At 34.4% G+C, this 14,969-nt stretch overlaps 1 protein-coding gene across 18 annotated transcripts in view, besides 1 other annotated feature; it reads left to right on the top strand.

The window, feature by feature from the left end:
- Positions 1 to 14,361, top strand: part of PHC3 (polyhomeotic homolog 3) — a 94,150-nt gene extending 79,789 nt beyond the window's left edge. For all 18 annotated transcript variants that reach the window (NR_199370.1, NR_199371.1, XM_047448988.1 and 15 more), the window contains one exon: positions 4,561 to 14,361. Coding sequence is in view for 16 of the 18 variants with exons in the window: in XM_047448988.1 (XP_047304944.1) it covers positions 4,561 to 4,715 (155 nt within the window). In the remaining 2 variants the exon portion in view is untranslated. The remainder of the gene's footprint in view (positions 1 to 4,560) is intronic.
- Positions 11,057 to 11,257: a silencer, noted in NCBI's record as "peak4915 fragment used in MPRA reporter construct". NCBI's record gives its function as "represses an SCP1 promoter by STARR-seq MPRAs in K562 erythroleukemia cells {active_cell/tissue: K562}" and the evidence as "EXISTENCE:reporter gene assay evidence [ECO:0000049][PMID:32103011]".
- Positions 14,362 to 14,969: the final 608 nt, after the last annotated feature.

The following is a 14,969-nucleotide window of genomic DNA, read 5'->3' as shown; positions in this document are numbered from 1 at the left end:
AAATAAACATCAAGAGCCTTTCTGAAATTTTATTTTTCAAATAGAGAGCTGAAATTCAATTATATTCATTCTAATATTGAGGGTAACTTTCTTATTTATGTTTTCCTGTTCTCTCATTTTGATACTCTTTCCATCACCTTAAGTCTCTATCTTTTTTCCTTAAAACAACAATAATCTTTTATATCCACCTTCTCCAAGGGGCTGGCTACTAAAGACAGCTGCACCTTTGCTCATGATGAGACCCACACTAGTTATATATGTTAAGACTATACATATATGTATATATATACTTTTTTAAATCAGTAAATCTTGTCATTCACTTTGACCTTACGCATATGGAAAATGAGGAGACTAAAACAAAAAATTTATTTCCTTTTGGTTTTATTGCGAATCATATCATTTCTCTTGATACAAGCTTTCTAGAAGAATACATCCTATTTGAACTTGTCTACTAACTTTTTACAGTTTAATAAGCTAATTAATCAGCTGTTGTTGCTAATTAGTCTTTCTCTGATGGCAACTAAAGTCTTGGAAGCATACTTAGAGCTAACATGCTATACAAGAAAATATATTTAGGAATGATAGTTGTAAAGAATCCGTCACCCACTTTACCTCATATACAGAATTCTGTGAGATTTTGTTAAATTAGTTTATCAATAGCTTGTTTTAGAAATGCTAAGTTTTAAAAAAATATGGCCACTTTTAAAGAAAGATGGAATTGTTTAAAGTGGAGATACTTCATGGGAAGATTTTTAAACATGTGCATGTGCCCACGAAAACTTAGATGTGAGTTAATTGCTGACCATGTGGATTTAGAATCTGTTTTAAACTGGGTGTATTTAGAAGACAGTGGGTCTTCATTGGTTGTGGTTTTAGTATCTAATGAAACCAGTTTTAGTTTTTAGACCAGTATAGCTATCTTGAGAATTAACTTTGGAGTCTATGTGGATACCTGGGGCTGGGCTTTGATTCTGTCATCTTCAGAAGTAGTGTCACTCTTCCAGGTAGGGCACATGATCTGTTTGTGAGCCTGATTTTTCATTTGGGGGAAATTTTTCTTTTCCTTTGCAGAAGAGAGTTGGTTTATATCCTGAGAAAAGTAGTTGCCCAAATAATTAACAAATATGGATACTGCTGATTCTTCTTTCACTTCTTTTTTTATTTAGGCTAATTTTCCCCAGCATCCTTTGCCATGTGGCTACTTTACCAGAACAAAGGCAAATTCCTTTGCCTCATTCTTGCATCATTTGAGTTAAAAAAACATAAAACTTAATATTCCTCATAACTTAAAATGCTTGTCTTATAGAGTTCATCTAGACACTTAATTTTGTTGCCAGGTATTTAGAAAACATTATATATCATAAAAAGGACACAGCTATTATATAATTTAGAATTGCTTACTACTATTTTAGAGTCTGGTTAATATGACTCTCTTCTTTACTTATGAAATGGGAGTGTTTCCAAACTGCTTTGACAGGCCAAATAATAAGCTTATTTGTGTGATTAGTTGTATCACCTTTCTCACAGTTTTCTCTGCATAATGCCTATAGTTTAAGGTAATCTCATACCAGAAAATGCCTTAGTGTTCATTTCTTTCTGCTTCTCTGGACTTTGTAAATTTCGTTTTGAGCTTCTTTTAGCTCTCATTAAGCGCTGTTTGTTTTCCCTGAGTAGTCTACTCCCAAGCTTTTCTCATAGGATGAACAAGCTTGTAAATTTTGTAATCTCTTTTGTATTTTGTTTCTTTCCAGTTGAGATAGGCTTCCTTCCCTCTTTAACCAGGGCATTTATATTTACTCCTCCAGTTTTCTCTTCTCTTTGTATATCGTCTTGTTAACCATCCTGTTCAGACTATGTTAGAGCTTGTATGCAGTAGACCAGAATCTCAGAGCTGTTAACAGAATGAAAAATTACCGCCTTCTAATTTTCTCTGCATTAAAAAGTTATCTACAGGAATAATTCTTATTTTCAATTTACTGCGGGTTATCTTCTTTAACCTTTCCTTGCTATGGTGAACTGCCTTTTGCAGAGATCAGTTTGTCCTCTGTTTATTGAAGGGTGAATCCACAGTAGATTTGATTTTTCTGTAGGCATATAAACTAGGAATCATTTTTTAAAACATGACTATTTACTGGTTTTTGTAATATCAGTATTGGGACTTGTTTATTCTGTAGTATTGAGTGGCAGGTGATACCTTTTCACCAACCTTACTGTGGTCAATTTTTGTGCAGGGTGTTTTATTTTGAGTTTAGCTGGAGAAGTGATGCCAGACACTTGAAAGATCAGTTGGGACCCATGTGCAGAGGTCCTTGCCTGTGCTGAGAGCTGCACTACACTTGCTTCTGGTGAGGTGAAGCTAGCTCAGCTGACTGGCTGTGTCAGTTGGTGTATGTTTTGTACACATCCCCGGGATCCAGGCATTTTACCAAAGTAGATGTTAATGTCAGAAACTCAGAACTTTATCTCAGTATACCTTGAGCACTTAAAATTGTTTTTAAAATATATTTTTCTGTAATGAGATTCTGGAAGCATACTTGCTTCCAATTTTTCTAAGTCACTTTTTTTTAAATTTCTATACTGATGTAACTATACTTTTTTTGTGGTTAGCTTAAGAAAGTTGTGATCTAAAATGCATTCCTATTTGATCGTGCTAATTCCCAAAACACTTTTTGTTCTATATTATTTTGCTAATACATTTACTGTTCACCTACAAGAGGATATTTGAAGAGGAATCTCACAATACAGAGGAACAGGAATGTGCTACATATTTTCCTCATGGAGAACTCCTTGTTTCTATTCCCAAATGTAGCTCTTATAGTTCTCATTACTTCTCATTGCTCTTGTTTTCTGAATCTAAGTAAGTCCCACCCTATCTTTCTCTCTCTTCTTTTCTTTCCTGTGTTCTTGTAAGTAAGACTGAAGAGAGAAGAACATTAGTTCTTTCATAAAAAGAAGGATGAAGTCACAACTAGATGCAAGATTAGTCAGTTTTGTCTGCCCAGTTTTGTTGAGAGCTACCTCTGGGAAAAGAAAAGGGGCTTTTCTATGGTGAGTAATCCCATTTCAACTATAGTTTCTTTTATAAGATAAATGTGCAAAAGCATAATAATTTCGTAGAGGGTATTGAAATGTCAATTTTTCAAAGTCTGAGAAATTATTAAAATAGAAATTGAAAAGCTAGTTGTTATATAGGAAACAGTAAAGATACAAGTAACAGAGGACGTGAGAAAAGAAATAAGCAAGAGAAAAAATGGACACACAGCTGTACACAGGAAAAAATGTTTGTATTACTCTTACAGATAGCTCTTCTATAGCAGATTATATTTTTGTTTATTGTGTATTCACTAATTCAGTCCTTATTGACAAATATTATGTATTCAGTACCTATAATGCTTTGTGCTTTGTGCTGGGGTTGTAAGACATCATAATCTTACATAAACAAGAGGATGATACATTTGCAAGTAGAAAGGATAATTGAACTAGCAAAATTGTGGCATCCAAAAGTGTAATGTAACTATTTTCATTTTTCATTATCTTTTTCTTTGTGTTTTCCCTTAGAATGCTGATTTGAATAAAATAGAAAAACTTAAGCTGTCAGTTTTTATGTGTATTCTTAAATTCATCTTAAAATTTTACTGTCTCTCAAGAAAGCTTCCATATTTTTATATTCTCTCATCTCAGCTACTTAATTGATTACCTTTCCTATTGGTTTCTTTACCCTTAATGGGTAAGTTTATTGAGTAATTTGGATGTGAAAATTTGGTAGACAGTAAAAACATTTGAGTTTCAGGTAGATACTAGCATTGTTACCTGCTAAAGCACCTGGTTTAGACTGAGAGCTAAAATATTGGTTATATGGCAGGAAATTCGCCAGCAAGCTCATAATTTCAATGAGAATTGTTTTCTTAACAAAAGTGGAGACAAGCCCAGTGATAGTCAAGTCAAGCAGCGTAATACATTTCAGCAGCATTGCAATAGATTGGTAATACAGTCTTGAGAAATTTGATATGTCCCGAGTGAACAATAAAAATATTTTAAATGTACTTTTCAAGTGAAGGTCATAAATTAGGATAAGGTACAAATGATAATGAAAGTGGTACTTACTTGAGAAAATATTTCTAGATTGTTATTTAAATGACAAAACATATTTTTGTTTCCTCTTTACCTATATGTGAAGGATATATTATACAGAGATAAGTGCATGAGGTATAACTAGTTAACCCAAACCTGTTATGTGGCATGCTTTGAGGTAACACCATAGTCCTTTTTGTGAAGGAAGTATTATATCTAGACTTCCCTCTTATGAATTATTTCTATAACATTATTTTAGAGCAAGAATTCCAAGCAAATTGCTTTACCTGGATTTTGAATTCTTATTTTCAGAATGCAAATACTCTATTCTTCAAGAGTGAACTCAAGACTACCATAAATAAATTTCATTTGTTTCTCAGCCTGTATTTCAGATTCTCAGACCCAGTGAGAGCATAACTGTGACTGTTAGGAGTAATGTCTAATTGTTGTATATTTAATTCTAACTTCTGTCCTCTGGTCAAATTCCAGGCTGCCAGGATATCGCAGATGAATTCAGAGCACAGGAGATTGATGGACAGGCCCTTCTCTTGCTGAAAGAAGACCATCTCATGAGTGCAATGAATATCAAGCTAGGCCCAGCCCTGAAGATCTGTGCACGCATCAACTCTCTGAAGGAATCTTAACAGGAACATGAAGCCTTGATAAAACAGCAGTTTTACTTTTCTCACAAAAACTTGTAAGGTAAAGGCCTAACTTGGTCTAGAATATGACACTTATTGTGGTGGATAGCCAAGCACATTGGGATCTCCACATCAAATACTGACATTTCTTCTACAGGTATAATAATTCATCATGCATTTTCATAATTAATAAACATTGGTAAAATTAATTTTACAGGTTACATGAAACATTGAAAGACTTGTTACAGAGGGCCATGATATTTTTCAAAGAAATGTGTTATACTAGATAATTTTTTTAAAGGTGATGTTTATCATTAATATAAAGAATCCTTTTAAAAGTAATTTAATGATTTACATTTCTCCTCTTTTGATTCAATTTTCTTATACATTTTTTCTACCCTATTAGTTTTCTAAAGGTTGTCATGAGAGGTATATTATGGAATAATTTAGTAGTCCAGTGACAGAATCGTATGAAATCAGTGTACATTTTAAAAAACATGTCTTTTAGACATATGCTTTATCTATAAAAAAGGAATTGTGTTCTAGTATGAACAATACTGATCTGGAAGTGAGAAGAGTTAGTTTCTATTCCAAACTTGACCAAGAATTTGGTTTGACTGAGAACGTTTTCCTCTCAGTTTTTGTACATTTATTTAGAGCAGTGGTTCTCAGTGGAGGTCAGTTTTGATCGCCAGGGGACATCTGGCAATGTTGAGACATTTTGGTTGTCACAGCTTGGGGGTGGGTTCAGGGGAGGGTTGCTACTGGTGTCTAGTAGTTAGAAGCCAGAGATGTTTCTAAACATCTTATAATGCACAGGACAGCACCCCTCCACTGTAAAGAATTATTGGTTCAAAAATATCGGTACTGCCAAGGTTGAGAAACTCTGATATAGAAGGAGTGATAAATATTGTTTTCACCCAAAGGAATACTTTTAAAGGATGAAGCTTACTAAACATATATGATGGAAGTATTATTCAGATAACATTAATATTCTGCTGAATAATTTTTTCTAGTTTAATCATACTAGAAAAAGAAAAAAAATCTACAAATTGTCCTATAAAATAAGGACAAACATGCAAATAATTTAACTCTCAGAAAGTACTAATTCATTCTGATTATCTTTCATACCTCTGTGCTCCTCTGCACTGACGAAGACATAATATGATTATACCTATGAACTAGTGCACAGCCTTTTCTGGCAAGAAAATAGTTTGTAGCAGATACGTGGTTGCTCTTTGGATTTTTTTCTATTGTTGAACATGCTGGGACTAGCTAGAATGCACATTCCTACTTCCTTTACCAAACGTTTGCATGCTTCCTGCAAAGCACTTACCAAGTGATTTCTCTTGAACCATCGGATATAATTTTGTATGTACATGTTTGAGGAAAAAAATGTAAAGCAAAACCTTTTACTGAACAGTGTTCTATAGAATTATGACACTAAAACAAAATTGTTTGTGGAAGCCCTGAAAGCTTTATAGTCCTGGACATCAAAAATTTTATTTGAGATGATGAATGTTTTGTTTTCATCTTTTCTTATATTACCACAATTGAGATATTTTAGTAATTGAAGGAACATACACAGATATTTGGCAGAAGTCGAGTAAGGAGGGGAAAAAAAGAGTCCGTGAGTTTCAGTCATTTTCACTGCTCTTTTCAAAAAGATTGTGTTGAGCTGGTAGAAGACTAAAGATGTCACTGAAGACATCACAGATACTATATTTATCTTTTGGCTTTGTGTACATTAGAGAATGTTGATTATTTTTATACAAAAATACAGCGGGTAATTTTTTTAATCTTTAGATGCCTCTTGTTTGAATGTATGCTTTGTGGAATTCTTTGTGTAGTAATGTTTTAAAAAAAGATGTTTACTGATAGTTACATGTAGGATTAGAATATGTAATATAATATAAGGCTCATGTTCCAGACCTACGATAGCTTGTAGTCTATGTTACGTATTTCTTTATATCACATTTTTAATCATTGGATTAAAGTATCAAGGAAAGCTAGGTACTCTATAATGAGTTTTCATTTATTAGCAGTTAATCATCATGACAGAATTGTCATATGCTTGACTTTTCCCTCTTCTTGGAATTTCAGAACACAAATACAGGCTAAGCATTAGTAAGAGATGGCCCACAGTATGAGAGAGAGAGGTGCAACGGAAAATCTCGCCTGGAATTAAAACTTTTCATAGATTATCCACGGTTAATACAAAATTTATTATATGGGGATAGACTGCTCCAGCAATAATGATTACATCCTATAACTGTATTACCTATGGCCTTTAAGGTATCAATTTTGAACTGTGTTGTAGGCTCTCCTTTTATTTGTTCTCTTTCCTAATAGCAGCCATTCTGTACTTATTGAAAGCCCCTGTGCCTACTGCTGTCTTAAGTATTCAGGAGGGGCTTACAAGAGGGTTTTCTATTGGAGAATACCGTATAATCTTAAATCTAGTCCAGATCTCTGTTGTCCCCACTCAAAACATACACAAAATATGCACTTGCTTTTTTCAAGTGAGTTTTTATTTAAAAATGGCTTGTTTGCTATCACATTGGTGCAGCTGTTTCTTTCAAGATGAGTTAATCATCTTAATTTCAAAGCTTCAGCTATATATAATGGATATATAGACAACACTGAGCATCCACCTCTCTCCTGAGCTTTAAAGCAGAGTTTCAGTATGATATAGGTGGGGAGAGTAAATTGTTTTCATATCCTTTCATACTACTACTAATAGTTTTAGGATTTTGACTGGGGAGAGATAATGACAAACAGAAAGGGAACATGGAGGTTCTTCCTACTTTTGCTACCTAAGTTTGCATTTTCTGACTTCCTTGCAGTGTTGCACTCTTTGTCCCATTGGGATAAAAAGCATAAGTTTGAAATTTTGCTTTAAGCCTTGTGTTCCTGGGGAAGTTAAACAACTAAGAGAGCTGATTTGTAAAAATTATTTTTTATATGACATTAATATTCATCAAGCCTTGTGTAGGCATGTGTAAGACACAGCTATGCAGCTTTGAGTAGTCAATATAGTATGAGATAGAGTGTTGTCCCAAATCCTCCTGTCACTTTTTAAGTAGCATATTATTTCCCTGATGGTCCTGTTACTTTGCTGTTGAATGCTCTAAACAGAACTTTTTAAAAGGTGTGTTTTAAGAGCAGTCACCTAGGAGTAGACAAGGTGGAATGGGAGGAGAGAAATGGTAATGCAAAAGCTTGAGCATGGGAAGAGTCAGAGGAGGAGGCCATCATCCTTGTTAGCTTAGCCTACTTCAACACTGAGCACATTTCTGCACTTTTGAAGTGAAATTCATGTTTTACTTAGAAGAAATAATTTTCTTTCATTAGGGATCCCAGTTGATTTTTGTTTCCTGGTGTATCAAAATACTTAGAACTATGAAACAAGTATTATTGTGATCATGCCTTTGAATAATTTTTGACGTAGCTTATCTTCATGTATCAAGTATAAAATTATAATGAGACATCTATTCACAAATACAAGTCTTAGATTGAATTGAAATGTGTTATAGTGCCCTGTCTCCCACTGACTTGTTCAGTTAAATGTCTTAAAGTACATTATGTACATCTTCAGGCTTTTGGTACCACAATGGCACAAGTATGGTAGGGAGGCAATATAGTCTTAGGCTATATGCCTATATTAAGTGTGTATAAACAATTTTTGAAAGAATACACTATTATAGATGTATGTGAGTGATGCTGACCTGACAGCCATATCCAGTGGATGAAACTGACTGGACACACTGTTAAAATGTTTTAAAGATGTATTTTCAGCCAGAACAGCCTGGTTATAGTTTGTGGTTTTCACCTTGGTGGATTGCAGGAACACATGCAGCCTACTGGCATTGAGCATTAGCTAATGGCATGAAAGGGCCTCATCTCACTACCTCTCTAAGGCCTCTAGCTCCAAGAAAACCATGAAAACTTCTTTCTTGGAGAGATCTTTGTCTCAGAATCCTTAGAGAGGATTTCGTATGGGGGCTAACTTTAGGAAGGGAGGCAGCTGGGGCAGGACTTTCTGATACCTGACAGTCATGTTCCAGAGCAACCTTTGGGCAGTGGAAACTGGCGCATCTATGCAAAATGATTGCTCAATCTCTATCTTGTGTACTACATATGTAACTAGCTGGGCCCTAAGGAAGGTTTTCTAGGGGGAAGGATAGGGAAGTAGAGGAGGAGACAAGTAGGAGGAACAAAGCATTCTAGACCCAAGAGGATAGAAGATATTTAGGATAGATATGGCTTTCATCCATAGTTCAAAATAATGCGTTTTGTTAGATGCCAGTTATAGCAGTAAATAGGTTATAGTTTTTATATGTCAAGATTTACCTGTAATCAGACTCATTCTTTCACTCTCTATACCCACTGTCTCCATGCTTGGGAGCATGGATATTAATAGTTCCAGTGATGTAGAAGTTAGTGATTTTTGATTTCTGAAAAAGGTGAGAACCTTTTATTACAGTTGGAGAATATTTGTCAAAAATTCAAAGGTTGTTGTAATTGAGTTGCCAGAATTACAGAGTTTCCATTTTCAGATATCACAGTTGAATCACCTCTGTAGATTGTTATAAAGAGAGGCATTTTAAGATAGTATTTTATTTGCTAGGTTGTGTCTCAGTCTAAGAATTGGGAAAAGAAGAGCTATAGGTTTCTCTTTCCTAGTCTGGATTTCAGTAAACACAAGCCTACCTCTGCTTCTTTGGTTCACAGCAGTGTGGATCATGAAATGAACTGTTTACCCACATTCATCAATATTGGTATTTTACAAATCTACTTGGAGCATTTAATTTCATCTCAAAGATTGTGATCCACTTTAGATAAGCACAAATACAGTATTAGGAAAAGTAAATATGCAATCTTACTAAAATTTCAACTTGTTAAGCTGTATATCTTAAAAGAAATTATTTGGGGCTGGGCATGGTGGCTCACACCTGTAATCCCAGCACTTTGGGAGGCTGAGGTGGGTAGATCACCTGAGGTCAGGAGTTCGAGACCAGCCTGACCAATATGGTGAAACCCTATCTCTACTAAAAACACAAAAATTAGCTGGGTGTGGTGGCATGCACCTGTAATTCCAGCTACTTGGGAGGCTGAGACAGGAGAATTGCTTGAACCCAGGTGGTGGAGGTTGCAGTGAGCCAAGATCACACCCCTGCACTCCAGCCTGGGTGACAGAGCGAGACTCCATCTCAAAAAAACAAAACAAAAAATTATTTGGGAAGATACGTCCTCTTTTATTAGAAGTTCATAAAATGTATCATATAGTTTTGTTCACAGTAGTTATATAAGCTTTCTTCAAATAAATTTAAAATTAGATTACCTTCTTTGGAAAAAGAATTTCCTAAATTTTTAAGAATTTTCAAAGTTTTACATATTAGTTTTTAGAACCTAATCCGTTTTAAAATTGTACTATGAGAAAGCTTTTTTTTGAAAGTTGTAAAGCATTAATACAAATAATACAAATATAATTATTACCATCACATTCCAGAGAATATGGCTTTTTCTAAACTTTCAATTTAGAAAACATACATTAAGGGAGAATCTCTGCCCTCCTTTTCAGCTCTGAAGATCAGCTTTTCTACTCAGACACATGCACACACCCCTTCCAAGTGTCATGTTTATGGGAACATTTGGGAAATGTTTTCCAGATGTTTTATTTTTTCCCTTTTATAGTTTGTTGACATTTAATTTTACTTAAAGATGACAATTTTAATCGGAAATGTTAGAGGTACAACATAGTGAGGTTCTAGCTAGCTTTATACTTTTGAAAAATATTTTTGTTTCTACTGCTTTTTACAAGTACTAGTCCTCTCAGTGATACTGGTGGTGTTCAGTATGAATCCATAGAAAGAAAACAAAATTTGTTGTTTAAAAAAAGCAGAGTAATGAATGAATTTCAGTTTTGAAAACAACATAATTTGAAAACACTGTTATACTAACATGGCAAGGTGTTAATTAAATATAAGAGTAAGGTAGTAAGTTCTTTTAGAGCACCTGTTTAAATTTACTCCAGTAATCATCTTAAGGATTGATAGTCACCATCACTTATTGGCTTAAAAGTTATATTTCATGGAATATTATCAGTGTTAAATCCAAGCTTTGTGGAGCTTTAAGTGATGGTGGTGAAAAAGTTGGTGTTTATGAGAGAGTGGTGGGGTGTCTAGTCATTAGTGAAGTTAAACATCAACCTGTTTTAGAAAGAATTTTTTAGTCTTGCCTAAAGTAAACCAGAAGTGTCTAGTGTTTAAATCTTTATTTAGAATGCTTCTCTTAAAAGTATTTTTTGTTTTGGGTAGTATTAAATAATCAGTAAATAATCTATTTCAGTAGTAAATAATGAATTAAGATGATGATGAATGAGGATTAACACACTGGTCTGGAGACTGGGGTTTTATTTCAGTGGGTTAGCTGTGTGTGACATGTTGGGCAATTACTCAGCTGTTTTAACAGCTTCCAGATATGCAGTATGGTGCCTGTACTACTCAAAAGTTGATTTTGGTTTAATTCATCTTTAAGGTACCTCCCAGCTCTAAAACTATGATTCTAGGCTGTGTAATGGGGTTATTCCTACTTTATTCTCTTTCCTTTTTTAAGGGTTCATTTTATACTTAATAAGCATCCATTTCTTGGGTCACCTACAGTCTTTGTTCTCCTAAGGATTAAAATAGAAAATTCATACATAACAAGCAAATGATGACATTTTCCTAAATGCTCCTTATTGGTTAACCACTGAATATATGAACACATATGAATATTGTCATTCATGTACTTAAATTCATTTAGCAAACTATTTGAACACTTACATGTGCAGTGTTTGGTGAACATGACATGAGGAACTAGTAGTAAGTAAAATCTTCCCCCCAAAATTCATTGTGGCTTAAATAAATATGAACATAATCATTACTACTTAATATACTGAGAGGGAATCTTAATAAACTTGGAACTGGGAGGGAATATTTGTATACATTGGGTAAAGGGTTAGGCTAGATGACATCTAAGGGGTCTGAGTGAATCATATCATAATTTTTATAACACATTTCACATACTAAACATCAGTTGGCCCCATACCTGATTAAGTTACAAAATTTAGGAGACTTAACATTAAGGACTTACAGGTTGAGACAGCCCGTATTTCACAACATTATTTTGACACTTGACTCTATTCCAGAGTTGTTGCTATACAAGGCATGTGGCAGAACAAAAAAAAAGCTGGTGTTGATATAAGAGCTTTTTACCCAGTATTGACAGTGAGCAACTTTCTTTCTTTTTTTTTTTTTTTCTTTTTTTTTTTTTTGAGATGGGTTCGCTCTGTTGCCCAGGCTGGTGTGCAGTGGTGCGATCTCAGCTCACTGCAACCTCCACCTCCCGGGTTGAAGCGATTGTCTTGCCTCAGCCTTCCAAGTAGCTGGAATTACAGGTGCCCGCCGCCACACCTGGCTAATTTTTGTATTTTTAGTAGAGACGGGGCTTCACCATGTTGGCCAGGCTAGTCTCGAACTCTTGACCTCAAGTGATCCACCTGCCTTGGCCTCCCTAAGTGCTGGGATTACAGGCATGAGCCACCACACCTGTCCGACAGTGTAGCAACTTTCTAAAACTGAAAAATCTCAAAGGAGATCATTGGAACTGACTTGTTCATTTATTTTTTGTTTTTAAATTAAGAAAGATTACACAAAATAAGTGTTACTGTACTTTAAGCTATTACAAATATCCAACTTTTAAAGATATGTAAGAATCAGTAATATTCTAGAAAGCACATATATAGTAAAAGGGCATCCTTTAAATGTAGAACGGGTAAACATGAAACAGTTCCATGCTTGAATTGTTAAGTATCTAGGGGGTAAACATTGAATGGGAGAATCATTTATTGGGTTAAGGTCCCTTCCTTGTCATTCTGGGATCTGTGAATCACATTGTAATTCCTGTTGACAAAGCTTTACTTGTTAACATCAGTTGATACTGACATTCTCCATAAAGATATAGAATGAAAATATCTATTAAAAATAGTTTATCATTGTTTTAGCTTTTTTGTTTTGTTTGTTTTGAGACAGAGTCTCACTGTCACCCAGGCTTGAGTGCAGCGGTGTGATCTTGGCTCAATGCAACCTCCACCTCCCAGGTTCAATAGATTCTCCCACCTTGGCCTCCCAAGTAGCTGGGATTACTGGCATGCACCACTATGCCTGGCCAGTTTTTTGTATTTTTAGTAGAGATGGGGTTTCACCATGTTGGCCAGGCTGGACTCGAACTCCTGACCTCAAGTGATCCGCCCACCTCAGCCTCCCAAAGTGCCGGGATTATAGGCATGAGCCACTGCGCCTAGCCTGTTGCAGCTTTTTAAAGCAGGAAAATATCCATATAAACTGTTGGGTTAGAATCTATATTAGAATCTTTCAAACTAATTGAAAACAGGAAGACTATCATCTAAGTAGCCAGATAATCTGGGTTTCAAAAAGTTATTCCATGGTACTGGTTTAAAAAATACTTTTCAAGTGTTTTAATTTTTAAAGTGTAACTAATTCTTCAAATATGTTATGCTGTTAAAATATGTATTCCATAAGTACTTTTTGTATATGTATTCTTAAATTTTAAAAAGTCAACTGAATGCGCAAAGATGATATAATTTTGGATGTAGACATTTAAACTAGATTCCCAGTCCTCTCCTTCAAAAGCTTGGTCTTTGTTTTTCCTATAGGGAAAAAAGTCAAAATAAGTTCCAAAAACTATCCTCAAAGTAGTATTGTGCTTGTAGTAAATGAAGGTTGGATGGATGGATACTGACAATGGTGGCAGGCATTTCAAGCCTTTTAAATTAGTACTTTTTGTCGTCTTGCTTATTAAAATTTTGTTAATTTTAGCAAAGACCAATTGTTGTGATAAACTGGTGTTTTTTGGATGCTTCAAGCACACGTTAACCAATTTTTTAATTCCCCTTTTGGTTCCTCCCATTGTTCTAAAATAGGACTTTCATATTATTAAAACCTCAAAAGATGATCCACCCAGGATGAACAAAGATCACCAAGGGGAAAGAAAACATTTTTTATCTTTACAGAAAACATGTTAAGATTATATATAGATGTATTCTTTACATTGGATATTGTATTAGAGTCCTCCTTACAAGAAATGAAATAGTTTTTAGCACTCTTAGCATTAGAGTTCCTAGATTGGTGTTGATAGCTACAGTTTTAAAATGTATAACCTGAAAATGAAGGTTAATTTTGCATTGTAAGAGCACATTTGATCTATGTAAAAAGTGTCCATTTGGTGTATTTTTTTAAAAAAGAGAAAGCACTTTCATATTAAGTAGCATGTGTATGAATTTAGATTTTCATATTTGTTGTGTCTGTATTCAGTGAAGTAAATTGAGCATTTAAATGTTTGTTGATGGCAACATTAACTATTAAATTAAAGCACCTTATACTCTGCTGCTTAACTTGCTTGTAATTGCACCTTTGTTACCTGCACATTTTCATATAGAATATTGTTGTAACATTGCTTCATGTGGGTCTGGATGGAAGATTAGTGGGCCTACAGGATCATTTATTTATATTGTTTATATTACAATAATATATTGTAGATCAGTTGTAAGTTCATTTCTTTACAAATAAAAGCCTCTTCCATTTGACTGGTCTATTGAATAATTTTTTTTTCTTTAAGCTTATGAGACATGGGGAATCCTCTGTGTAAACAAAACAAAAAGCTTAGTGAGGTTTGAAATGGTTTTAAAAATCTCCTGATTTAAAATCTGCAAAGAGTGTAAGCAAGTCTTTACTGATTAATTTCAATATATTTAAACATATTTCAGTCCCATATTTGGCCAACAACTAGAAGGCAATATATTTAGAGGAAAAAGTAATAGAAGGAAAGAGGGGGCCGGGTTTAAGAAGAGTTCTAAACTGTTTAAACACACCCTGATGTTGTCTTGAACATAGGATTATTTGTCCTAAACTTTCGATATAGTTGGCTGTCTATATGCATTTGGTTTTTATAGAATGTGATTTTTATTCCTATTATTTATTATTTTCTCAAGTATATATATATTTTAACATTGTACCACCCATTATATTGGTTATTATTTCTCTTCCCTGCCATGTCTTCTGTTAACAGATCTGATCATAGAGAGGTGGACATATGATTGAAGTCAGGTTGAACAGTCATTCCCCGGGACTGTATATTTGAAGAAGTTAGGAGATGCTTTAAGTAAGTGTAATTAATTATGAAAGCCCTGAGCTG

The sequence above is a fragment of the Homo sapiens genome, chromosome 3, assembly GCF_000001405.40.
Source record: "Homo sapiens chromosome 3, GRCh38.p14 Primary Assembly".
Taxonomy (NCBI): Eukaryota; Metazoa; Chordata; class Mammalia; order Primates; family Hominidae; genus Homo; species Homo sapiens.
This window is presented reverse-complemented; position numbering and strand designations above follow the sequence as displayed.